Source organism: Homo sapiens, chromosome 12, assembly GCF_000001405.40.
Source record: "Homo sapiens chromosome 12, GRCh38.p14 Primary Assembly".
Classification (NCBI taxonomy): domain Eukaryota; kingdom Metazoa; phylum Chordata; class Mammalia; order Primates; family Hominidae; genus Homo; species Homo sapiens.
In genome coordinates, this window is record NC_000012.12 from 110,138,030 (window position 1) to 110,165,628 (window position 27,599).

Below are 27,599 nucleotides of genomic sequence, written 5' to 3' on the forward strand. Positions count from 1 at the left end.
CTTGTCAGAAGAAAGACCACGCAAACTGAAAGAGCAGTGGAAAGCTCTCATTTGTACTGGAGAACTATCCCAATGTAAATAGCTGATAGAGGGTTAATTCATCTTTCTGTAGTAATCTATGAAATTCTACAAGAGCAGGGAGCAGGAGGTTAAGGAGTTCCTACTTCGTTGACATCTTTCTGGGAAGTGGAAAGTGATCTGTTCACAGCCTAGGAAAAGGGTAGATTAAACATATTTAATTGATCCAGGTATTTAGTTTAATAAGCTCTAACTTTTCAGTAACAAAAAAGGCTTACAAAAGCTAATGTTTACTTAAATAACAAAAAGTACTTTTAGTATGACAGTATAATTTGTCTTTTTGCAGAGTAACAGCTATATTATAAAACATTCACTGAGGTTAATCATTTTTTTTTTTTTTTTGAGATGGAGTTCCACTCTTGTTGCCCAGGCTGGAGTGCAGTGGTGCAATCTTAGCTCACCGCAGCCTCCGCCTCCCGGGTTCAAGCGATTCTCCTGCCTCAGCCTCTGGAGTAGCTGGGATTACAGGTGTGTGCCACCACACCCAGCTAATTTTTGTGTTTTTAGTAGAGACGGGGTTTCTCCATGTTGGTCAGGCTGGTCTTGAACTCCCGACCTCAGGTGATCCACCCGCCTCAGCCTCCCAAAGTGTTAGGATTATAGGCGTAAGCCACTGGGCCCGGCTGAGGCTAATCATTGTTATACTCCACACATTTGTGAGATTTATTACATAAAAGAAGACACTCATTTGATTATAGTAGGATCAGTGAGATGTTTTCAAAGGGTTTTTAATATAAAAGTTTGCTGACATCTTAGTGACCTTGTATTTAATTTACCCAGGATTTTGAAAGATAATGCTTTTAAAACTTTTCATAGAAACATATGACTATTTTTCAAGGTCTAAGTTAAATTTTTTAAGAGAGTAATTTAAAATTTGATGGAAACTTGGTTTTTATGTTTTAAACAGCTTTATTGAGGTAAAATCGACATATAATAAACCACACAAACCCTGGTGCAGTGGTTCACACCTGTAATCCCAACATTTTAGGAGGCAAAGGCGAGCAGATCACTTGATCCCAGGAGTTCAAGACCAGCCTGGACAACATGGCAAAACCCTGTCTCTACAAAAAAATACAAAAATTAGCCAGGTGTGGTGGTGCACGCTTGTAGTCCAGCTACTTTGGGAGGCTGAGGTGGGAGGATCACTTGAGCTCAGGAGGTGGAAGTTGCAGTGAACTGAGATTGTGCCACTGCACTCCAGCCTGGGCAACAGAGGGAGACTCTGTCTCAAAAAAAAAAAAAAAAAAAGAAAAGGAAAAAAGAAAAGAAAAAGCTGCATGTATTTGGTATGGTTCAGCGACTCACACCTATAATCATACTCCTTTGGGAGGCCAAGGTAAGAGGATCACTTGAGCCCAGGAGTTTGAGACCAGCCTGGGCAACATAGCAAGAATCTATCTCTACAAAAAATAAAAAATTATTTGGGAGGCCAAGGCGGGTGGATCACAAGGTCAGGAGAGCGAGACCATCCTGGCTAACATGGTGAAACCCTGTCTCTACTAAAAAAATATAAAAAATTAGCCGGGCATGGTGGCGGGTGCCTGTAGTCCCAGCTACTTAGGAGGCTGAGGCAGGAGAATGGCATGAACCCGGGAGGCAGAGCTTGCAGTGAGCTGAGATCACGCCACTGCACTCCAGCCTGGGCGACAGAGTGAGACTCCATCTCAAAATAAACACATACATACATACATACAATAAAATAAAATAAAATAAATAAAATAAAATAAAATAAAATAAAATAAATAAAATAAAATAAAATATAAAATAAAATAAAATAAAATAAAATAAAATAAAATAAAAAATAAAAAATTAGCTGGGCATGGTGGTACATGCCGATAGTCCTAGCTGTCCAGGAGCCTGAGGCAGGAAGATCACTTGAGCCCAAGAGTTTGAGGTTAAAGTGAGCTATGATTGTGCCACTGCACTCCAGCCTAGGTGACAGAGTAAGACTTTGTCTCAATAAATAAATAAGTAGCACATATTTAAAATGTATTAAATTTTTTTTTTTAATTTTACTTTAAGTTTTGGGTTACATGTGCTGAATATGCAGGTTTGCTACATAAGTATACATGTGCCATGGTGGTTTGCTGCACCTATCAACCTGTCATCTAGGTTTTAAGCTCCGCACACATTAAGTATTTGTCTGAATGCTCTTCCCCTTTCCTCCCATGCCCTAAAGTGTATCCTTGATTACTTTTGACATACGCATACACTGGTGAAACCATCAGCTTTTAATCAAGATCACAAACCTATCCATCACCCCAGACATTTCCACTGACCCTTTTTAATGTCTCACTCTTGCCCCCTTCTGCCTTTCTGTCCCTCCCCAGGCAACCATGGATTTGCTTTCTGTCACTATAAATCAGTTTATATTTGCTAGAATTAGAAACTTTTTTTTAAATAGAGAAAATATTATTTGAGAATTTTAAATCTTTAAAAACATTTTAGTCTTTGATTCCATGCATCTCTAATTACATGGGGTACACTTAAGAACCTGAGGATGGAAAAGCTGGTCATCTAACAGACAAAGAAGTCAGGATGTAGATTTAATCGAAAACCACATAGGAATGACTGACTAATTACAGTGTGATTTATTTATTTTTATTGTTTATTTACTTATTTATTTATTTTTTGAGATGGAGTTTCACTCCTGTTGCCCAGGCTGGAGTGCAATGGCGTGATCTTGGCTCACTGCAACCTCCGCCTCCCAGGTTCAAGCCATTCTCCTGCCTCAGCCTCCCAAGTAGCTGGGATTACAGGCATATGCCACCACGCCCGGCTAATTTTGTATATTTTTTTAGTAGAGACGGGGTTTCTCCATGTTGGTCAAGCTGGTCTCAAACTCCTGACCTCAGGTGATCCGCCCGCCTCAGCCTCCCAAAGTGCTGGGATTACAGGCATGAGCCACCACGCCTGGCCTATTTTTTATTTTCTGAGACGGAGTTTTGCTCTTGTTGCCCAGGCTAGAGTGCAATGGCATGATCTTGGCTCACCGCAACCTCTGCCTCCCGGGTTCAAACGAATCTCCTACCTCAAGCATCTCTACAGCCTCCAGAGTAGCTGGGATTACAGGCATGGGTCACCATGCCCGGCTAATTTTTTGTATATTTAGTAGAGATGGGGTTTCTCCATGTTGGTCAGGCTGGTCTCAAACTCCCAACCTCAGGTGATTCGCCTGCCTTGGCCTCTCAAAGTGCTGGGATTACAGGTGTGAGACACCACGCCCAGCCTACAGTGTGATTTATTAAACACTTTCTCTTCTCTTCCTTTCTCTAATCCTGAAAAAAGAAGGAATAGTGAAGTAATGAATGGAAAACTTAGAATTTGCAGTTAATAAAATTTTACATGTTAATATATGGTTAGCACGATGGAACTAAAAATAGTTTTAAGGCTTTGGGCCAGATGTATTATGCTTTGGGCCAGATGTATTATGCAATCTATTACACAGATTACTTAAACCAGAAAGCCCATGTGTTAAAAATTTGAGCCAGGCCAGACGAAGTGGCTCACGCATGTAATCCCAGCACTTTGGGAGGCCCAGGCAGGCGGATCACTTGAGGTCAGGAGTTGCAGACCAGCCTGGCCTTAACATGGTGAAACCCTGTCTCTACTAAAAATACAAAAAATTAGCCGAGCTGGTAGTGTGCGACTAATTCCAGCTACTCAGGAGGCTGAGGCAGGAGAATCGCTTGAACCCAGGAGGCAGACAGAGGATGCAGTGAACCCAGAATGCACCACTGCACTCCAGCCTGAGTGACAGAGCAAGATTTCATCTAAAACAAAAAACAAAAAACATTCAAGTCAGAATTTGTAAATGTGTAAATGGAAAGATATGAAATAAACTTTGTAAATCTCTCTAGGCTGGGAATTTAAAACAAGATGGTTATTCACTGAAAATCTGTGTGTATAGTTGTCCAACTGCAAAAATAAGAAAACTAAAATCTTAAAAATATAAATTGCCACTTAACTGTAAACTAATAATACTTTACAAAATAAAAAATACCAAAACATGGAAAACTTAAAACATTTATGTGTAGGTAGATACTTTGTTTCTTTTTTCTTTTGTTTTTTTGAGACAGAGTCTCCCTCTATCCCCCAGGCTGGAGTGCAGTGATGGTGACACGATCTTGGCTCAGTGCATCCTCTTCCTCCCAGGTTCAAGCGATCCTTGTTCCTCAGCCTCCCAAGTAGCTGAGACTACAGGCATGTGCCACCATGCCCGGCTAATTTTTGTATTGTTAGTAGAGACAGGGTTTTGCCATGTTGCCCAGGCTGCTCTCGAACTCTAGACCTAGGTGATCCACCCACCTCGGCCTCCCAAAGTGCTGGAATTACAGGCGTGAGCCACTGCACCTGGCCTGTTACTCTTTTTTAGATTTTAACTTGTGGTGCTTTTAGTAATGTCTTCATTGGCTTGAAGCTGACAAATGATAATGAATTATCATTTATGAACTGTTATAATAGAAATATAAATTGTTCTGGGTACAGTGTAATCCCAGAACTTTGAGAGGCTGGGATCACACCTGTAATCCCAGCACTTTGAGAGGCTGAGGCAGGTGACTGCTCAAGCCCAGGAGTTAGAGACCAGCCTGGGCAACATGGCAAAACCTCGTCTCTACAAAAAAAAATACAAAAATTACCTAGGCGTGGTGATGTACACCTGTGATGCCAGCTACTTCCAGCTACTCAGGAGGCTAAGGTGGGAGGATCACTTGAGCTGTGAAGGTTTAGGTTGCAGTGAGCTGAGATAGTGCCACTACACTCTAGCCTGGGTGACAGAGCAAGACCCTATCTCAAAAAAATAAAAAATACATATGTATATATATAGCATTAAAAGTATTCCAAAAGAAAAAAAATACATGATCATCTGTATAAAAGAGCACCTGGGTTAGATTTTATTTGTGTTATCATTTGGTTCATGGGTCTCTTAAATGCTTAGAAGGTAAAATATGACCCAACAATGTATCTGGCTCAGCACATGTTATTTTTGCGTATTGCGGGATATAAAAGAATTAGGTTATAATTTGAAAGGGTCATAATAGCACTTTTTCTATAATTATTTAAATATTCTTCCATGTAAATTATGTTTCTTCATTTTCATTGTAATTAACAATAAAATATTTCAATGGCCAATCTTTTATTGTACTATGCTATATATTATACAGTTTGTTTTCAACAAATATGCCGTATCCAGGTCTTATATTTAAAATAGTATACAGAATATCACTGTACCTACTCTTTTGGGCTGAATATTTATTTATTTTATTTTTAAAGGTTTAATGAAGAGGCTAGAGGAGGAGATAAAATTTAATTTATATATGGTAACTGAAAAATTTCCTAAAGAATTAGAAAATAAGAAAAAGGAATTACATTTTTTACAAAAAGTAGTTTCAGAGCCAGCTATGGGCCATTCTGATCTTCTTGAACTTGAATCTAAAGTAAGTGAGAATCATCTTTTTATAGCTCTCAATTTTATCTGATCCCCAGTCCTATAAAATTATGTGAACTGCTTTCTGTAGTATCCCACTATTGACTCTTAAATTAACCTGTGCTAAGAGTTGACAACTCTTATGAGGAATTGTCCTTTATGAGGAATTATAGAATGTTATGCTATTACTTAATCCACATGATGTTATGAAAACATAATCAATTGATTAGCAAATGAAGTAACTTAAATATGTAAATTAATGCATATGAATTGACCAGTGGGTTTATGTCTTCATAATGTAAGCATTTAGATGGGAAATTTGGAAATATTTTAATTGTCATTAATTTTTATTTCCAAGCAAAATATTATAGCAATTTTATATTTAAAGCTAATATTTTTATTAACCTTGTATACCTGCCTTGGAATTACTAAATATTGTAATGCTTATTGAAAGCTGGTATCAGGTTATACCTTTTTTTTTTTTTTTTTTTTTGAGACAGTACTTGCTCTGTTGCCCAGGCTAGAGTACAGTGGCACAATCTTCTCAGCTCACTGCAACCTCTGCCTCCTGGGTTCAAGTGATTATCCAGCCTCAGCCTCCCAACTAGCTGGGATTACAGGCACGAACCACCATGCCCGGCTAATTTTTTGTTGTTGTTGTTGTTTTTGTTGTTGTTGTTTTGTTTTTTGTTTTTTTTTGAGACAGAGTCTCGTTCTGTTGCCCAGGCTGGAGTGCAGTAGCGTGATCTCGGCTCACTACAACCTCCGCTTCCCGAGTTCAAGCGATTCTCCTGCCTCAGCCTCCTGAGTAGCTGGGATTACAGGCACGCGCCACCACGCCTGGCTAATTTTTGTATTTGTAGTAGAGACAGGGTTTCACCGTGTTGGTCATGCTGGTCTCAAACTCCTGACCTTGTGATCCACCCATCTCAGCCTCCCAAAGTGCTGGGATTACAGGCATGAGCCACCGCACCAGGACTTGTTTTGTTTTTTGAGACGGAGTCTTGCTCTGTTGCCTAGACTGGAGTGCAGTGGTGAGATCTCAGCTCCCTGCAACCTCTGCCTCCCGGGTTCAAGCCATTCTCCTGCCTCAGCCTCCCAAGTAGCTGGGACTACAGATATGTGCCACCATGCCTGGCCAATTTTTTTATTTTTAGTAGAGACGGGGTTTTGCCATTTGTCCAGGCTGGTCTTGAACTCCTGACCTCAGGTGATCTGCCCGCCTCAGCCTCCCAAAGTGCTGGGATTACAGGTGTGAGCCACTGTGCTTGGCCTGATTATACCATTTTTGTTCCCTAGAATTAAAATGCTAGGTCAGGTGCAGTGCCTTTTTTTTTTTTTTTTTTTTTTTGACGGAACTTGCTCTGTTGCCCAGGCTGGAGTGCAGTGGCACAATCTCAGCTCACTGCAACCTCCACCTTCTGGGTTCAAGCGATTCTTCTACCTCAGCCTCTCGACTAGCTGGGATTACAGGCGCACACCACTATGCCTAATTTTTTTTTTTTTTTTTTTTTTTACACGGAGTCTCACACTGTCACCTAGGCTGGAGTTCAGTGACATGATCACAGCTCACTGCAGCCTCCATCTCCCAGGCTCAAGTGATCCTCCACCTGAGCTTCCCAAGTAGCTGGGACTACAAGGTGCATGCCACCAGTTCTGGCCAATTTTTGAATTTTTTGTACAGACAGGGTCTGGCCATGTTGCCCAGCATGGTCTTGACCTCCCAGATTCAAGAGATCTGCCTGCCTCCGTCCACCTCAGTCTCCCAAAGTGCAGGGATTACAGGTGTGAGCCATTGCACTCAGCCTAATTGAAATGTTTTGACTTGCTAATTCTTTAGTGTGCTTACTATGTGGTTAATAGCCACTACAATTAAATACATAATTCTGACTGTTTTGGTTTTTTTTGTTTTTTTTTTTTTGAGATGGAGTGTAGCTCTGTTGCCCAGGCTGGAGTACAGTGGCGTGATCCCGGCTCACTGCAACCTCTGCCTCCTGGATTCAAGTGAATTCTGCCTCAGCCTCCCCAGTAGCTGGAATTACAGGCACCTGCCACCATGCCCAGCTAATTTTTGTATTTTTAGTAGAGATGGGGTTTCACTGTGTTGGCCAGGCTAGTCTCTAACTCCTGACCTTGTGATCCACCCACCTCAGCCTCCCAAAGTGCTGGGATTACAGGTGTGAGCCACCGCGCCCAGGCCTGACTGTTTTATTCTTTTAATTTACTTAGAAAAATTAAATGTCCAAGTCAGATCTGGCTAAAATTTTGTTTTGTTTTGTTTTGTTTTGTTTTTGAGATGGAGTCTCACTCTGTCACCCAGGCTGGAGTCCAGTGGTGCGATCTCGGCTCACTGCAACCTCCACCTCCTGGGTTCAAGTGATTCTCCTGTCTCAGCCCCTGGAGTAGCCAGGACTACAGGTGCATGCCACCAAGCCCAGCTAATTTTTTGTATTTTTAGTAGAGACGGGGTTTCACCATGTTGGCCAGGCTGGTCTCGACCTCCTGACCTCAGATGATGCACCCGCCTCAGCCTCCCAAAGTGCTTCAATTACAGATGTGAGCCACCGTGCCCGGCCTAATCTGGCTAAAATTTAATGTCACAGAATTAGGGTTAGGGTTAGAGAGAACTCTAATCTTTCAAAGGATGGATACACTGAAAACCATGGTTTTTGTTTTGATATGTTGAGGAACTATATGCTTCTGTCAGATTTATTCAGTTTTATTACATTTTGGAAAGATTTAGATTAATGATTAGGATAAATGATAGTTATCGAAGAATCACAGATTATTAGCACAGGAAGGGTGTTATCCCTGTCAACTGTCAGCTGGGTTCATGAATCATTGTAATAAATCCCTGGTGCATATTTGTTCACATTTGCTTTATCACTTTCAGTGACTTGAAGTCACAACGTAGGTGAGGGGATAACTTCAGATTTTTAGAAAGCATCTTTGTGGTAATGTATAAATATTTCATGTAAAATACTTTAGGATAATTTAGACATAGATGATTAAATCTATATAAGTAATCAAACTGTGTAATTATATGTCATGAAATGTAAATTGTTTCTAAAGGTAATCATAACAAGCTCCCCATAACATTAATGAAACTGTTTTGCCCATCAGAGACTTAATGTTAAGAACTGTAAATTCCAGATGGGTGCCATGGCTCACGTCTGTAATCCCAGCACTTTGGGAGGCCAAGGTGGGAGGATCACTTGAGCCCAGGAATTCAAAATCAGTCTGGGCAACATAGCAAGACCCCATCTCTTAAAAAAAAAATTAGTCTAGGTGAAACTGAGACCTTGTCTTTAAAAAAAAAGAACCATAAATTCAAAGCTGGTTTGGCCAGACGTCACTTAGTTTGTGTACTTATAGGGAAAGTTTTAACTTTTTTTTTTTGCTTTCATGCTATTTTAGATAAATGAAATAAACACAGAAATTAACCAGTTGATTGAAAAGAAAATGATGAGAAATGAGCCCATTGAAGGCAAACTCTCACTGTATAGGCAACAGGTAAGAACATTCTTTTGGCTCACATATTTAGATCTGTAAGCATATTCATGAACCACTGGCTGTGTTATCTATAGTCTTAAAGTGAGAAGGAAGTAGAGAATAAATGTTGTTCTGTCACTGCTAATCTCCATAGTATATCAAAGAATTAGTGGAAAAGCCACAAAAGATGCTTATTCAAGTTTGAAATTACGATACCCCTAATAATGCTTAGTTTCCTTAGCATGTACGAACTGTGGTAATAGAGCTATTTGTGTTTGTATCTGTGACTGTGGAATTTATTTTTAAAATGAAAACTTACCTTAGGTGGTATAAATAAAAATATTTATAATTTTTAATGAGTTAATAACAGTATGCTTTTTCAAGTTTAAAGTTAGTTTGCAAGTGTAGAATAAATTAAATTTTAGTGCTAAAGCATTTATTATTTTATCCACAACTAAATTGTCACTTAGTTTTTGAGGGTACTTATCTTGTTGTATATTTCTATAAAAGATTCAAATGAAGGCCATGGCTTATCTGAAAAGAACCAAGGCAGGAGGATTTTAGTGTGAAGAGCACTCTACAACCTCAGAAAATACTAAGCTACATAACAAAGCATTATTTAAGGACATTAGAATTTTTTAAAACCTTTATAACGGAAAATTTCAATCAATTACAAAGGTAGAGGCAAATTGTTCAATAAACCCTCATGTGTCCCTGAGCTACAGGGCTCATGGCCATTCTTGTTTCCTCTATACTGCCAACCCCAACTATATTATTTTGAAGCATATCTTAGACTTCATCATAACATTTCATCTATAAATGTTTCAGAATATATATCTAAAAGATAAAGGCTTTTTAACTTAACCACAACATACCACATCTGAAAATTTTAATAATTCCTTAATATCAGAAAATATTCAGTCAGCCAGGAAATCAATGACATTCCCTTGTCTCTCTTTTTTTCAATTAAGATCCATATAGGATTCATATATTGCATTTGGCTGATAAGTTATTTATTTATTTATTTATTTTTTGCTGTCACCTATCTGTCCCAGAAAGTTTGTCTCTTTTAATCCATATGTTCTCTTCCCATCGATTTATCTATTTAGTGCTTTTTGGCAATATATGTGTTGACAAAACTGGTTCATTTTTCCCATGATATTTCTAACAGTTTGTGTTTTACTGATTGCAACCCTATGGTGTTGTTTTACCATGTTCATTTGTTTCCCGTATTTCCTATAAATTAGAACTAGGAGCTTGAACAGATCTGGTTTGATTTTTTTTTGGCAAGAAAACTTTCTAGGTGGTATTACATACTTTTATTTGGAAGTGATAATGCTCGGTTGTCTGAGCAGCCACTTACTATTATTGCTCATTGCTTATCCATTAATTTTATTATAAATTATAAAATATTCATATTTTGATTCCTTCTTCATTTATTAGCTGGACTACTTTTTTTTTTTCTTTTGAGATGGAGTCTCACTGTCACCCAGGCTAGAGTGCAGTGGTGCGATCTCGGCTCACTGCAACCTCCGCCTCCCAGGTTCAAGCAATTCCCTGCTTCATCCTCCTGAGTAGCTGGGATTACAGGTGCCCACCACCATGCCTGGCTAATTTTTGTATATTTAGTAGAGACAGGGTTTCACCATCTTGGCCAGGCTGGTCTTGAACTCCTGACCTCATGATCCACCCGCCTTGGCCTCCCAAAGTGCTGGGATTACAGGTGTGAGCCACCGTGCCTGGCCCTGGACTACTTTTATAAAGAGAAAACCTCTCATCAACTATTTGGTTATCCTGAGTTATAGTTCATATAGGATAGGCAGGGTACATGCTTTGTTTTTATCATTATTTATCAGTTTTCATAATGAATTTGTTTCCTCTAACTCATTTGCATCCTCCAACAGTGAAGTGATCAATTAGGGCTATTTTTTGTTGTTTTTTGTTTATTTAATCTCATTATGAATCCTAGACATTATAAGTTTTAAACAGTATCCTTAATGATGCTCAAATTGTCCCAGTTTTGGCTAATGGGAGGCTTTTCAAGTTAACTTTTGACTTCTTTTCAGATTCTAGTGGTCTTTGATAATTTCCTTGCTTTCTGCATTATTTAAGTCATTTCTAGGCTCATCGTTTACATTTCCTACTCTAGACCTGGAATTAGGCTTTCTTCTATGAACCTGGTTTGTTTTAGCAGGAAATGGTATTTAGAAACTGAAACAGGGAAAGTTCCCTTGTCCCCATCGCAGGGCATGTGACAGGGGGAGTGGCTCGCTTCTTTAGTGCCCCACTGCTCAAACCTCTAGAGGAGGTATAGACAGGCAGGTTGTGGGGCTCTGTCCCCACAGCAGTGTCTAAGGGTGAATGTTTACAGCGGAAGCCCCAGTGGGCATGTGTTACAGTGTGCTCTTTTAGTTTAGCCATCCATAGGCGGCTTGTGTTAGTCAGCTCAATTAGACCCCTACCTTATCACAAGGACAGAGGGCTTTCTGTATCCCTGGGGTTCTTGTCTTGGTGTACCGGAAGAACGGATCACATGTGCTCTTGGAGAATGGGTGTAAGGTTTTATGGAAGTAGCTTTCAGCAGATAGGGGAGCCCGAAGGGAGATGGTTTTCCCTTGGAGTCAGGCCGCCGAGTGGCCTGACTCTTCTTTGACCACCCTGACTCTTCTCCCACTGCCCCATCCTAACTCTGCGTCGTTCTGCCAGTCAATGGCCTAGGTCAGTCAGTGGCCTGCCAGTGCCTGTCGGTGTCTCTAGGTATCAAGCCACTTGTGTCTTCTTCAGCCGATCTCCTCTTGATGTCCGGCCACTTGTGTGTCTGCCTGCTAGGGTCCCGGGGGTTTTTATAGGCACAGGATGGGGGCATGGCAGACCAGGGTGGTCTCGGGAAATGCAACATTTGGGCATGAAGGCAGGAGTGCCTGTCCTCACCTAGGTCCATGGGGACAGACCTGGGGGTGGAGCCCTCACCAGGGACCATGCCCTCCTCTACCCAGCACTTCCCTGCCCCACTTCTGTATCAAAACCACAGTCTGGGTGTTAGGAGTTCTCGTTGATTTTTTGTTTGTTTGTTTTCTTTTCTTTTCTTTTTTTTTTTGAGACAGAGTCTCGCTTTGTCACCCAGCCGGGAGTGCAATGGCATGATCTTGGCTCACTACAACCTCCGCCTCCTGGGTTCAAGCGATTCTCCTGCCTCAGCTTCCCAAGTAGCTGGGATTACAGGCACATTCCACCACGTCCGGCTCATTTTGTATTTTTAGTAGAGACAGGGTTTCACCATGTTGGTCAGGCTGGTCTTGAACTCCTCCCAAAGTGCTGGAATTACAGGTGTGAGCCACCGCACCCGGCCATGTTTTTAGGCAGCCATTGTTTTTAGGTCTTTTCAGTGGACCAGGCTAGGAGGTATTTCTTTCTCTTTCTTTTTCATAAAGTACACCATCAGTGCATACTAATCCTTCCAGTTCAGATTCAGGACTACTTGGTTTTACTTAGTCTCGTCAATCTCACATCTTTTTCCTTATCCCACGTTGAAAATCTTGGTTCTTAGTAACATCAACATAATTTAATTCATAATTTGCTTTTGTCCAGTGGAACCAACATAAATTTATCATTTTTATAATATTAATCCACATTTTACACACAACAGTCTCAGAATAAAAGTACCAGTAATACCATCAAGAATATGATTACTACTGAAAATTGGTCTTTAGTTCATTTTGTTTTTGGGGTATATATTCAAATAAGTTTCCAGCATCTATTCCTGTGCTTCCACCCTATTCTTTCCTTCCCACATAGGTATTTTTTAAATTTCACACTTTATTATTCCATTAGAAATATTATATAGACGTATATACTCATATCTCACTTCTTAGGGAAAGAAGAACATATTAAACACACTCTTCTTCTCCTTGCATTTTTTCTTCTTAACAATATATGCTGGTGATCATTCCATAGTAGAAAAAATTTTGTTCCTTTTTAAAAATACCTTGATTGAGATATAATTCACATACCATATAATTCACCCATTTAAAGTGTACACTTCAGTGGTATTTTAGTGTATTTATAGTTTGTGCAACCATCACCACAATCAATTTTAGAACAATTTTATCACCCCTAAAAGAAACCCCAAACACATTAGCACCCACTTTCCATTTCTCCCCTAAACCCCCAATTTCAACTGATTTGAGACAAAATCAGTCTCTATAGATTTGCCTGTCATGCACATTTCATATAAATGGAATATTTTAATATGTTATTCCTTGTCATTGGCTTCTTTCACTTAGCGTAACATTTTTAAAGTCCATCCATGTTGTAGTATATGTATCAGTACATCATTCCTTTTTAATTGCTGACTAATACTCCATTGTATAGCTACATCATGTTTTGTTTATCCATTCATTGGTTGATGGACATTTAGGTTGTTTTCACTTTTTGGCTATTATGAGTAATGCTACTATGAACATTCTTATACAAGTTTTTGTGTGGATATATGGGATTTTAAAATTATTTTCTAAATTGACAAATACAAATTGTTTATATTTATGGTATACAACATGATGTTTTGAAATATGTATACATCATGGAATGGCTAAATCAAACTAATAAACATATGCATTACCTCACATACTTATTGTTTTGTGGTGAGAACACTTAACATCTATCCTCTTAACAATTTTCAAGTGTTAAGATACATTAACTATAATTATGATATTATACAAAGATCTCTTGAATTTATTCCCCCAACTGAAATTTTGTATCCTTTGACCAGTATCTTTCCAATCTGTATACCTCCCTAATCCCCTGATAACCACCATTCTACTCTTCTGCTTCCATGAGTTCAGCTTTTTAAGATTCCACATGTGAGTGAGATCATGCACTATTTGTCTTTCTGTGCCTGGCTTATTTCATTTAACATAGTGTCCTTCAGGCTCATCCATGTTGTTGTAAATGACAGGATTTCCTTCTTTTTTAAGGCTGAATAGTATTCCATTATGTATATACCACATTTTCTTTATCTATTCATTCACTGATGGATACATGGGTTGATTCCATATGTTGACCATTGAAATTAATGCTGCAATGACCATGTAAATGCAGATATCTCTTAAATATACTGATTTTTATTTCCCTTGGATATATACACACTAGTGGGATTGCTGGATTATATGCTAGCTCTATTTTTAATTTTTGAGGACCCTCCATACTGTTTTCTATAATGGCTATACTAATTTACATTCCCATCCACAGTGTACCAGAGTTCCCTTTTCTTCACATTGTCACCACCACTTGTTATCTTGTGTCATTTTGATAGTAGCCATTCTAACAGTTGTGAGGTGATAGCTCATTTTTAAATTTACATTTCCTTGATGATTAGGGATGCTGAGCATTTTTTCACATACCCATTGGCCATTTGTATGTCTTTAATAAATGTCTCTTTAGGTTCTTTGCCCATTGTTTAATCAGGTTATCTGTTTTTTTGATATTGAGTTGAGTTCCTTATATATTTTGGATGTTAACCCCATTTTTGAATTGGGTTGTTTGGTTTTTTGTTGTTGGGTTTTAGGAGTTCTCTGTATATTCTGGATTTTTTTTTTTCTTAGAGATAGGGTCTCACTCTATTGCCCAGGCTGGAGTGTGTCATCATAGCTCACTGCAGCCTTGAACTCCTGGGCCCAAGTGATTCTCCCTCCTCAGTCTCCCAAGTAGCTGAGACTACAGGTACCTGCCACTGCACCTGGCTAATTTTTTGTAGAGATGGGATCTTCCTACAGTGCCCAGTCTGGTCTGCAATCCCTTCAAGAGATCCTCCCGCCTGGACTTCCCAAAGTACTGGGATTACAAGCATCAGCCACCATGCCTGGCTTATTCGGGATGTTAATCCCGCATCAGATATATGATTTGCAAATATTTTCTCCCATTCTGTGTGTTGCCTTTTTACTCTGTTGACAGTGTCTTTTGATGCACAAAAGTTTTAAATTCTCATGAAGTCCAATTTGTCTAATTTTTTCTTTTGTTGCCTGTGCTTTTGGTGTCATATCCAATAAATCATCGCTAAATCCAGTGTTGTGAAACATTTGCCCTATGTTTCCTTCTAACAGTCTTATGCTGTTCCCTAACAGTAATACTGGCCTCAGAAAATGAGTTAGGAAGTTATGCTACTCTTCAACTTATTGTAAAAGTTTGAGAAGGATTTGATGTTTGTTATTTTTTACTGTTTTATTTTTGAGACGAAGTTTCGCTCTTGTTGCCCAGGCTGGAGTGCAATGGCGTGATCTCGGCTCACCGCAACCTCCGCCTCCCAGGTTTAAGCGATTCTCCTGCCTCAGCCTCCCAAGTAGCTGGGATTACAGGCATGCACCACCATGCCAGCTAATTTTTTATTTTTAGTAGACACAGGGTTTCTCCATGTCTCTACTAAAGGTCAGGGTGGTCTTGAACTGACCTCAGCCGATCCACCTGCCTCGGCTGCCAAAGTGCTGGGATTACAGGCATGAGCCACCGCGCCCAGCCTGGTATTCGTTAATTTAAGTGTTGGGTGGAATTCACCAGTGAGGACATCAGGACCAGGGCTTTTCTTTGTTGGGATATTTTCTTTTTTTTTAGACGAAGTTTCGCTCTTGTTACCCAGGCTGGAGTGCAATGGCGTGATCTTGGCTCACCGCAACCTCCGCCTCTCAGGTTTAAGTGATTCTCCTGCCTCAGCCTCCCGAGTAGCTGGGATTACAGGCATGCACCACCATGCCAGCTAATTTTTTATTTTTGGTAGACACAGGGTTTCTCCATGTCTCTACTAAAGGTCAGGGTGGTCTTGAACTCCCGACCTCAGCTGATCCACCTGCCTCGGCTGCCAAAGTGCTGGGATTACAGGCATGAGCCACCGCGCCCAGCCTGGTATTCGTTAATTTAAGTGTTGGGTGGAATTCACCAGTGTGGCCATCAGGACCAGGGCTTTTCTTTGTTGGGATATTTTTTTTTAGACAAAGTCTCGCTCTGTCACCTCGGCTGGAGTGCAGTGGCATGATCTCAGCTCACGGCAACCTCCGCCTCCTGGGATCAAGCAATTCTCTGCCTCAGCCTTCCAAGTAGCTGAGATTACAGGTGCCTGCCACCACCCTTAGCTAATTTTTCTGTATTTTTAGTAGAGACGGGGTTTCACCATCTTGGCCAGTCTGGTCTTGAACTCCTGACCTCATGATAGACCTGCCTTGGCCTCCCAAAGTGCTAGGATTACAGAGCTTGCAATGAGCCGAGATCACGCCATTGCACTCCAGCCCAGGCAACAGTGTGAGACACTATCTCAAAAAAAAAAAAAAGTATTTTTGGCCGGGTGCGGTGACTCACGCCTGTAGTCCCAGCACTTTGGGAGGCTGAGGCAGGCAGATCACATGAGGCTAGGAGTTCAAGACCAGCCTGGCCAACATGGTGAAACCCTGTCTCTGTTAAAAACACAAAAATTAGCCGGGCATGATGGTGCATGTCTGTAATCCCAGCTACTCGGGAGGCTGAGATGGAAAAATTGAACCCGGGAGGTAGAGGTTGCAGTGAGTCAAGATCATGCCTCTGCATTACAGCCTGGGTGACAGAGCAAGACTCTGTCTCACAAAAAAAAAAAAAAAAGAAAAAGAAAGAAAGAAAAAAATGTATTTTTAATTTCCACAAATTTGTGAATTTACCAGTTTTATTTCTGTTGATGATTTCTAACTTCATCCTGTTGTAGTCAAATAAGATACTCTGTATGATATCTATCTTTTAAAATCTATTGAAACTTTTTTTTGGCCACAGTCTCACTCTGTCACCCAGGCTGGAGTGCAGTGGTGAGATCTCAGCCTCTATATGTCTCAGTTTTCTATATGTCTGCTAAATCTAGTTGATTTATTTTGTTGTTTAAGTCCTGTATTTTCTAACTTATATTCTGTTTGTTCTATCCATTATTGAGACTGAATGTTGAAGTCTCAAGCTATTATTATACAATTGTCTTTTTCTGTGTTCAATTCTGTCAGTTTTTGCTTCATATATTTTGATGGTCTGTCATTAGGTGTGAAAATATTTATAATTGCTTATAATCTTGCTGTATTGAACCTTTTATTAATAATGTCCTTCTTTGTCTCTTGTACTCTTTGAAAATTTAAAGTTATTTCATCTGTTATTAATATAGTCACTCTGTTGTCTTTTGTTTACTATTTGAATGGAATATCTTTTTCTATCCTTTCACTTTCAGTTTAGTTATGTCTTTGGATCTAAAATGAGTCTCCTGTAGACAGCATTACTTGGATCATGTGGTTTCTTGGGGGGTTTTTTTTGAGATGGAGTTTCACTCCTGTTGCCCAGGCTGGAGTACAATGGCGCGATCTCAGCTCACTGCAACCTCCACTTCCCTAGTTCAAGCGATTCTCCTGCCTCAGCCTCCCGAGTAGCTGGGATTACAGGTACTTGCCACCATGCCCAACTAATTTTTTGTATTTTCAGTAGAGACGGGGTTTCACCATGTTGACCAGGCTGGTCTTGAACTCCTGACCTCAGGTGATCTGCCCACTTCGGCCTCCCAAAGTTCTGGGATTACAGGTGTGAGCCACCGCGCCCGGCCTGGATCACATGTTTTTTGTCCATTCTGCCAATCACTGTCTTTTAATTAGATAATCAATCTATTTATATTTAATTACTGATAAACAGCAACTTCTGTCATTTTGCTATTTGCTTTCTATATGCATTGTAGCTTTTTTGTTCCTCGTTTCCTGCTTTACTGTCTTTTGTGTTTAGTTGATTTTTTTATGGTGAAATGTTTAAATTCCTTTCTCATTTCCTTTGTGTATATTCTATAGCTATTTTCTTTGTGGTTACCATGGGGATTACATCCTGAAGTTATATCACTGTAATTTGAATTTATACAAGTTTAACTTCAATAACATATAAAAACTCTGCTCCATTACAGCTCCATCCCCACCCCTTTCAGTTGTTCATGTCACAAAATGACATCTTTACACATTGTGTGCCCCAAAACATAAACTAACAATCCTTTTAAATGCATTAATCTCTTAAATTATATCTTTTACACATTGTATGCCCAAAACATAAACTAATAATTCTTTTAAATGTGTTAATCTCTTAAATTATATACAAAACAAAATGTGGAGATATAAACCAAAATTACAGTAATACTAGCCATTCAGCTATTAATAATAATTGTGTTGTTTTAAATGTATAGTCTCTTAAATTATGTAGAGAACAAAAAGTGGATTTACAGACCGTTGTTACACTAATACTATCTTTCATAATTGCTCATGTATTTGCCTTTATTGGGATCTTTCTTTCTTATACAGCTTTGAGTTACTTCCTAGTATCTTTTCATTTCACCTTTCAGGACTTATTTGAGCATTTCTTCCAAGGCAAGTCTAGTTGTAACAAACTCCCTTAGCTTTTGCTTATCTGGGAATGTAGCTTTTGTTTATCTGGGAATGTCTTAATTTATTCCTTACTTTTTTTTTTTTTGGAGATGGAGTCTCACTTCATCGCCCAGGATGGAATGCAGTGGCATGATCTCCACTCACTGCAATCTCCACCTCCTGGGTTCAAGCAGTTCTCCTGCCTCAGCCTCCCGAGTAGCTGGGACTACAGGTGTGCACCACCACGCCCAGCTAATTTTTGTATTTTTAGTAGAGATGGGGTTTTGCCACGTTGGCCAGGCTGGTCTAGAACTCCTGACTTCAAGTGATCTGCCTGCCCCAGCCTTCCAAAGTACCAAGATTATAGGTGTGAGCCACCACACCCAGCCTCTCCCTTACTTTTGAAGGACAGTTTTGCCAGATATATGATTCTTGGTTGACAATTCTTTCTCTTAGCATCTTGATATATTATCCCACTGCTTTCTGGCCTCCAAAGTTTCTGATTAGAAATTTGCTGATGATCTTATTGAGGATCTCTTGTATGTGACTAGTCAGTCTCTTGATGCCTTCAGAATGTTCTCTTTGCCTTTGGCTTTTGACAGTTTGATTTTTTTTTTTTTTTCAGAGCAGGAGTAGAAGTTTATTTTAAAAGGCCTTAGAGGCCAGACACGGTGGCTCATGCCTGTAATCCCAACACTTTGGGAGGCCGAGGCAGGCAGATCATGTGGTCAGGAGTTTGAGACCAGCCTGGCCAATATGGTGAAACCCCGTCTCTACCAAAAAATACAAAAATTAGCCGGGGGTGGTGGCGTGTGCCTGTAGTTCCAGCTACTCGGGAGGCTGAGGCAGGAGAATTGCTTGAACCTGGGAGGCGGAGGTTGCCGTGAGCCAAGATCATGCCATTGCACTTCAGCCTGGGCAACAGAATGAGACCCTGCCTCAAAAAAATAAATAACTAAATAAATAATAATCATAATAATAAAAGGCCTTAGAAAAGAAAGGAAGTGCACTTGGAAGAAACCAAAGCAGGCACATGAAGTTTAAAGAGAGAAGATCAAGTGCCAACAGTTTGATTTTAATGTGTCTCAGTGTATGTCTCTTTCAGTTCATCTTTCTTGGAGTTTCTTCTTCTTCTTAGATGTTTATATTTGTATTTAATCAAATTGATGAAGTTTTCATACATTATTTCTTCATATATTCTATCTGTCCCTTTCTCTTTGTCTTTTCCTTCTGGGACTCCCACAGTGCATATACTGGCCTACTTAATGGTATCCCACATATCCCTTAGGCTCTGTTCACTTTTCTTCAATATTTTTCTCTTCCTATTTCTCAGACTTGATAATTTCTATTGTCCTGTCTTCAAGTTCATGGATTCTTTTGTCTGCCTTCCCAAATCTGCCTTTGAATACCTCTAGTGAATTTTTAATTTCAATATTGCACTTTTTAGCTCCAGGATTTCTTTTTGCTTTCTTTTTAGGTTTTCCCTGTATTGGCATTTCTATTTTGTTAATACATTGTTTTCTTGATGTTCTCCACATCTTCATGAGTTCTTTGAGCATCTTTAAGACAGTAGTTTTAAAGTCTTTATCTAGTTGATCTGCCATCAGGTCTCTTTCAGAGAATTTCTATTCATTCATTTTATTCTTTTGTTTTTATTTTTATTTTTATTTTATTTTATTTTTGAGACAGAGTATCACTCCATTGTCCAGGTGGAGTGCAGTGGCATGATCTCAACTCACTGCAACCTCCACCTCCTGGGTTCATGCAATTCTCCTGCCTCAGCCTCCTGAGTAGCTGGGATTATAGGCTAATACAAAAATTAGCCATCACACCTGGCTAATTTTTGTATTTTTAGTAGAGACAGGTTTCACCATGTTGGCCAGACTGGTCTTGGAACTCCTGACCTCAAGTGATTCACCTGCTTTGGCCTCCCAAAGTGGTAGGATTACAGGCATGAGCCACTGTGCCTGGCCTGTTTTCAAATTTTTTTAACAATTTTATTCTAAAAAATAGAAACAGGGTCTCATTATGCTGCTCAAACTGGTTTCAAACTCCTGGCCTTAAGGGATCCTTCTGCCTTAGCTTCCCAAAGTGTTGGGATTATAGGTGTGAGCCACTGTGCCTGGCCTCATATTTTTCCTTTAGATGTGTCATATTTTATTGTTTCTTTGTATGCTTTGTGATTTTTTTTTTTCTTTTTGAAATGGAGTCTCGCTCTTTCGCCCAGGCCAAACTGCAGTGGCACTATCTCGGCTCACTGCAAGCTCCCCCTCCCAGGTTCACGCCATTCTCCTGCCTCAGCCTCCCGAGCAGCTGGGACTACAGGCGCCCGCCACCACGCCCGTCTAATTTTTTGTATTTTAATTAGAGACAGGGTTTCACCTGTTAGCCAGGATGGTCTCGATCTCCTGACCTCGTGATCCACCCGCCTCAGCCTCCCAAAGTGCTGGGATTACAGGCGTGAGCCACCGCGCCCGGCCAATTTTTTGTATTTTTAGTAGAGATGGGGTTTCACCATGTTAGCCAGGATGATCTCGATCTCCTGACCTCGTGATCCGCCCGCCTCAGCCTCCCAAAGTGCTGGGATTACAAGTGTGAGCCACTGCGCCTGGCTGTGATTTTTTTGATTGAAAAGTGGACATTGGAATCTCATAATGTAGTAACTCTGGAAATTAGGTTCTCTCTTTTCCCAGGGGTTTACTGTTTTTTGTTATAGTTTTTGTTTTTTTGATTGGTGTAGACTGCACCAAAGGATAGGCTAAAGTGTAAAGTTAAGATAGGCTGGGCACAGTGGCTTATGCCTATAATCTCAGCACTTTGGGAGACCAAGATGTGTGGTTGAGCTCAGGAGTTTGAGACTAACCTGGGCAACATGGCAAGGTCTCTACTAAAAACACAGAAATATACCTGGGCGTGGTGGTGTGTACCTGTGGTCTCAGCTACTTAGGAGGCTGAGGTGGGCAGATTGCTTGAGCCTGGTAGGTGGAGGTTGCAGTGAGCCAAGATTGGGCCACTGCACTCCAGCCTGAGTGATGGAGCCAGATCCTGTCTCAAAAAAATCTCAGGTCTTTTCTGAGCCAGTGCATTTCCCCGGACATGTGTCATCACTTTCTAAATTTTCCCATATATGCAGTTGCTTTTTAATGTCTTAGTCTTAAATGTCTGGCTTCCAAAAGGGGAGAATGAGAAAAACTAAAGGGACAGAAAAAAGGATCCGGACCTATAATTCCTCTAGAAGTCACTTCAGTAAGAGGGGGAGGGACTTGCAATAATGGTGGAAGATGCAACAATGGCCTCCCTCTCTTTGTCTGCACCTCTGTGATCAGAAGCAGCGCATAGATCCCCAGTATTGGAGGACTAGGTCTTTTCTGTTCACACTTGCTCCAGCAAGCTGTGTGCATGCTGCACCAGGAACATGTGTTTGGGGCTGGAGGTGGGGGATGGGACCTGCTATTGTGCTAAGGGTTGAAATTGATTGAAATTAGCCTCACTTTACTGTCCAAGCTTTCCACTGGATGTTGCAAGCACTCAGTATTCCAACAATTACACTGGTAGAATCTGTGTGATGTAATTATTTTGGAACACCAGAGAAACTGTTCACTAGGTGAGGAGACAGATTTTGGGTGCTTCCTACTCCACCACCTTCTCAGAATCTCGCCTCCTCAAACGGTTTCGAAACTCTTTTTTGTAAAATTTATGCCTACCTATTGTATTAGTCAGGGTTATCCTAATCAACCATATATCCTATTGGTTAGTCAGAACTAATAGGATATAGGTATATATAAAAGGGAATTTATTAAGGAGAATTGGCTCACACAGTTACAAGGCAAAGTCTCATGATAGACCATCTGCAAGCTGGAGAAAGAGAAAATCCAATAGCGGCTCAGTCCAAGGCCAAAAGCCTCAAAACCAGGGAAGACGACAGTGCAGCCTTCAGCCTGCAGCCAAAAGGCCTAGAGCCCCAGGAAGCTGTTGGTGTAAGTCCCAAAAGCTGAAAAACCTGGAGTCTGATGTCCAAGGACAGGAGGAGAGGAAGCATCCAACATGGGAGGAAGAAAGAGAGCCAGTAGACTCAGCGAGCAAAGCTATCCCACCTTCCTCCCCCTGCCTTGTTCTAGCAGCACTGGAAGCTGATTGGATGGTGCCCACCACATTGAGAGTGGGTCTTTGTCTTCCAGTCCACTAACTCAAATGTCAGTCTCCTCTGGCAATACCCTCACAGACACACCCAGAAAAAATGCTTTACCAGCCACCTAGGCATCCCTCAATCCAGTCAAGTTGACACCTAATAGTAACCATCACATATATTTACTTTCATTTTTGCTTTTATAAATCAGGGCTTTTCTTTCCTTATGTCTTCCGACTGATTTTGTCTATGAAAGCTATTGATTTGGTTTCTGTAGTTTTTCTATTCTTTTGATCTTTTGGAAACATAATTATATAAACATGCAAATTCCAATTTTTCCTTTCAAATTTTTATGCTTCTAATTGCTTTCTCATGTCTATTAGCTAATACTTTCAATACAGTAATTAAACTATAGTAAAGGTAGTGGGCATTTTTTTCTTGTTCCTGAGTTTAGTGGGAAATACCCTCATATTTCTCTATTAAGTAAGATCCTGGTTTGGGGATGAAGTTTATATTTATTTTATCATGTTATTTATTTTATTATTGAAGTATACTATCAATTCTTATAGAGTCTGGCGTTCTATCATTCCTTCTTCACCACTTTTTTTTTTTTTTTTTTCCTTTTGAGATGGAGTCTCACTCTGTCACCCAGGCTGGAGGGCAGTGGTACAATCTCGGCTCACTGCAGCCTCTGCCTCCCAGGTTCAAGGAATTCTCCTGCCTCAGCCTCTCAAGTATCTGGGACCACAGGTACACGCCACCATGCCTGGCTTGGTGTATTTTTTTGTATTTTTAGTAGAAACAGGGTTTTACCATGTTGACCAGGCTGGTCTTGAACTCCTGACCTCAGATAATCCACCCACCGTGGCCTCCCAAAGTGCTGGTATTACAGGCGTGAGCCACCACGCCTGACCCACTTTTTTTTTTTCTTTGAGACAGGGTCTCTGTCACCCAGGCTGGAGTGTAGTGGCATGATCATAGCTCACTGCAGCCTCAACCTCTTAAGCTGAAGTGAGCCTCCTATCTCAGCCTGCCAAGTAGCTGGGACCACAGGTGTGCATCACAACACTCAGCTATTTTTTTTTTATTATTTATTTTTTTGTAGAGTCAGGATCTCACTATGTTGCCTAGGCTGGTCTTGAACTCCTGGGCTCAAGTGATCCTCCCACCTTGGCCTCCCAAAGTGCTGGGATTACAGACGTGAGCCACTGCACCCAGCCTCCTTCATTTTTTAAGCTAGAATAGTTCTATGGAGTAAAACATTGCTTCATGATCACCTGTCTTTTCATTTTCTTAAAAAAAGGACAATAGAATTTTTTTAAGGATTTGTGCTAGAGATTTCGCTCTCCTGTCAAATTTCCTTGAAAAATTATTTGTATCATTTCTCTTAAGACAGTTTGGCTAATGTTTTTCTTAAACTAGTACAGCTATGGTTCGTTTAAGGAAATCTCCCAAGAGTTACTAGCTAATATAAAATGCTGCTAAGAGTAGCCATTTGCATTTTGTAAACATTTGCCTAATTCTGGTGAGTCAGATGTTTGATTTTGAACCTGCATTTTATTTATTAGAATGGCCCAAATATGATAGATGTTTTAACATTTCATTTTAAAAGTACGGATATTGAATTTAGTAAGATGACCTGTGTTGTAGTTTTGAGAAAAAAGCATTTTTTTCTTCCAATAAAGGGAAACCCACCATGTAAAAATACGGTAGACTTGGTGTTACCTTCTATTGACTTGAACTAGGATGTATTTTCATTAGCATTTGAGTGTTATTTGAGAAGACTTTAATATTTTTCTTTTTTTTTTTTTTTTTTTTTCTGAGACAGAGTCTTTCTCTGTCACCCAGGCTGGAGCGCAGTGGCGTGATCTCGGCTCACTGCAACCTCCACCTCCCGGGTTCAAGCGATTCTCCTGCCTTAGCCTCCTGAGTAGCTGGGATTACAGGCACACACCACCACACCCAGCTAATTTTTGTATTTCTAGTAGAGATGGGTTTTCACCATGTTGGTCAGGCTCTTTTCGAACTCCTGACCTCATGATCCTCCTGCCTCGGCCTCCCAAAGTGCTGAGATTACAGGTTTGAGCCACCATGCCTGGCCTAATATTTTTCTTATTAGCACATTTTTGTTTCTCTGCTGATATGTCTTACATTTTCAGAGCTTTGTCTTCCAAAGTGTTTGTAGGTTGGTATTTAATATACATTGTATGTTCATATTCAATATAATTGGTGATGATGAGTAGTAGGGCAAGGAGTATTGGTTAAGAGAGGCCAAGCTGATATTGAAAATATAACTTGGTAAAATCTAAAAAATAGATAATTTCACAAGATAATAGAAAGTTGATTGTATATCTTATTATACCTTCATATTTAATGCTCAATCAGGCATCTATCATTTCCCGTAAAAAAGAAGCCAAAGCTGAGGAACTTCAGGAGGCCAAGGAGAAGTTAGCCAGCCTAGAGAGAGAAGCATCAGTAAAGAGAAATCAGACCCGTGAATTTGATGGTACTGAAGTTTTAAAGGGAGATGAGGTAAGCTGAGCCATCTCATGGGACAAGGGTATGAGTATTGTTTTTATGTGAAACTATTAGTGTGTTTGACTTTCTTAGTGTGAATGTTAATATTGGGACGTTAATCTTATTTTATAAAACATATTTAAAACTGAAGAGTCTTTTTGCAATAATACTGAGATTATTTTTTTCTTTTTCTTTTTTTTTCTTTTTGAGATGGAATTTCACTCTTGTCACCCAGGCTGGGGTGCAATGGCGGGATCTCTGCTCACTGCAACCTCCGCCTACCAGGTTCAAGTGATTTTTCTGTCTCAGCCTCCCACATAGCTGGGATTATAGGTGCCTGCCAACATGCCCAGCTAATTTTTGTATTTTTAGTAGAGACAGAGTTTTACCATGTTGGCCAGGCTGCTCTTGAACTCCCGACCTTGGGTGATCTGCCTGCCTTGGCCTCCCAAAGTGCTGGGATTACAGGCGTGAGCCACCACGCCTGGCCATACTGAGAATTTCTTGATGTAAAATGGCAGATATGTTAATGATTTTACGAGATATTATGTTCCAAATTTTCACTTTTTTTTTTTTTTTTTTTGAGACGGAGTCTCGCTCTGTCGCCCAGGCTGGAGTGCAGTGGCGCGATCTTGGCTCCCTGCAACCTCTGCCTTCTGGGTTCAAGTGATTCTCCTACCTCAGCCTCCTGAGTAGCTGGGATTACAGGTGGACGTCACCAGGCCTGGCTAATTTTTGTATTTTTAGTAGAGACGGGGTTTCACCAGGTTGGTCAGGCTGGTCTCAAACTCCTCACCTCATGATCTGCCCGCCTCGGCCTCCCAGAGTGCTGGGATTACAGGTGTGAGCCACTGCACCCGGCCCCAAATTTTCACTTCTTAATTAAGTGAATTTATATTGGATTTAATTATTTATAAATATTAAATTATAAAAGTGAAAAACGTTAGTAGCAAACAGATAATACAAAAATCTATATTTGTTGGTAAATGCATTTCCATAAAGGGCTAAGAAAATATCATTAAGTTATTTTGTCAGTAATGTATACTTGTCTGGTGGGACTGACATGATTAAAATGACCTCATCATAGAAGCTTACAACTTTAAAAAAATATAATTGTGTCTCACATTGCAATATACTTTAAATTTTGAACAATGCTTTAACAGCTTTTGTTTCATTTATCCTTCTGTCAGACTCATAAGATTAGTGGGACAAATAATATTTTTTATAGATGGCTAAACTCAAGCACCAAAAATATAATTTTCCATCCTCTTTTCATAAAATTAGCCCAGGAATGAATGAATAAATGAAGTCAAATATCTTAGTTTAGTGCTTTTTTAGCAAAATAAAGCAATAGGTCATATTTTAATTTGTAAACATTGCTTGGACTTTACCAATTTTTACAGGCTTTTAAATTTTGTAACAGCTACTAGATCTCAGCAAAAGCTATCGTGGAAAGCTACTCTTGTCCAAACCTCATTTTTGGCTTTGAAAAGTTATTGAATCCATACTGTTACAAATTGGCAGTGAACCTTCACTGTGCCAAACAAATGAATTGCTCCCATAGTACCACTTTTCTCTGTGGTACTTCAGGTTGTACCCTCCCAATGTGCCTTTTAGCTTGCTGGGGAAGTAGTAGATTCAGGAAGTCAACATGTGATTGAAAAATTCCCTTGGCTTTTAACATCCACTTCCAAATTGGTTTAAGACATGGGAGTGTTTTAAATGATATCTGGAAGTCAACAGTGTATGCTTCATGACATCTTTGCTGTCTAGAGAAAAAAATAAAAGATCAATTATGCAGCAGTTTCGCTTTACAAGAGACTATGCCACCTCCTAGCATTTTTATCTTTTCTTAAGAAAATGCTGCCTAAATCACAGGAAATACTAATTGTTATGGCCGTATTTGGCATAAATAGTACTTACAATTCAGTGTTAGATGTTCCCTCTATGCAAATGTGAGGGAAAAAACCTAGTGCCAGGTTATTAGCCTTTATTTTTGAGAAATCATGGTGAATAGGAGACGGATCCAATGACAGGGAAAAAAAAAAGCAGTCTTTTTTTTTAAGGGGAAAAAGATGTCATCATTTGGAAATGATAACTTAATTTTTGAACAATGTCTGGTCGGAAAAGAACAAATCAAGTAAGGTATTTGGCAGTTACCTAAAAGAACAGAAGGTATCGGGGAACATTAAGCATAATTTTATAAAGAACAAATCTTGGTATACCAGTTTTATTTTCTACTATGATAAAGTGATAGGCCATATGGACAAAAGAGAAGAAGTTTCTTATATTTAAAATTATATAATACAGCTGGAGGTATAATTCACTGAGGTGCCTGATTTAGTATCACATGGTTCACTGAGGTTTCTGGTTTGATATCACATAGTAATCTCCAAAAAATCATGTCCTTTGCCCCCCATCTGTTAAACAGTTGGTGAGAAGGTATTGATAATTAGTGGCATGGTGTTTGGAAAGAACACTATGCCAGGAATCACATGCAAAATGAGGAAAGGGGGACTCACATTTATTGAGCACTTTTTATACAAAGCTCTGTTCCAGGTACTTTGCAAATAGATAC

At 39.9% G+C, this 27,599-nt stretch overlaps 1 protein-coding gene across 14 annotated transcripts in view; it reads left to right on the top strand.

Moving 5' to 3' along the window:
• Positions 1–27,599, top strand: part of IFT81 (intraflagellar transport 81) — a 94,437-nt gene that overhangs the window by 13,673 nt on the left and 53,165 nt on the right. For 8 of the 14 annotated variants that reach the window (XR_007063070.1, XR_001748670.3, XR_944523.4 and 5 more), the window contains exons 9-11: positions 5,353–5,516; positions 8,924–9,019; positions 24,890–25,036. Coding sequence is in view for 7 of the 14 variants with exons in the window: in XM_017019217.2 (XP_016874706.1) it covers positions 5,353–5,516; positions 8,924–9,019; positions 24,890–25,036 (407 nt within the window). In the remaining 7 variants the exon portion in view is untranslated. Of the gene's footprint in view, positions 1–5,352; positions 5,517–8,923; positions 9,020–23,132; positions 23,255–24,889; positions 25,037–27,599 lie in introns of all 14 variants that reach the window. The other 6 variants (NR_144952.2, NR_144949.2, NR_144951.2 and 3 more) reach the window with 3 other exon arrangements.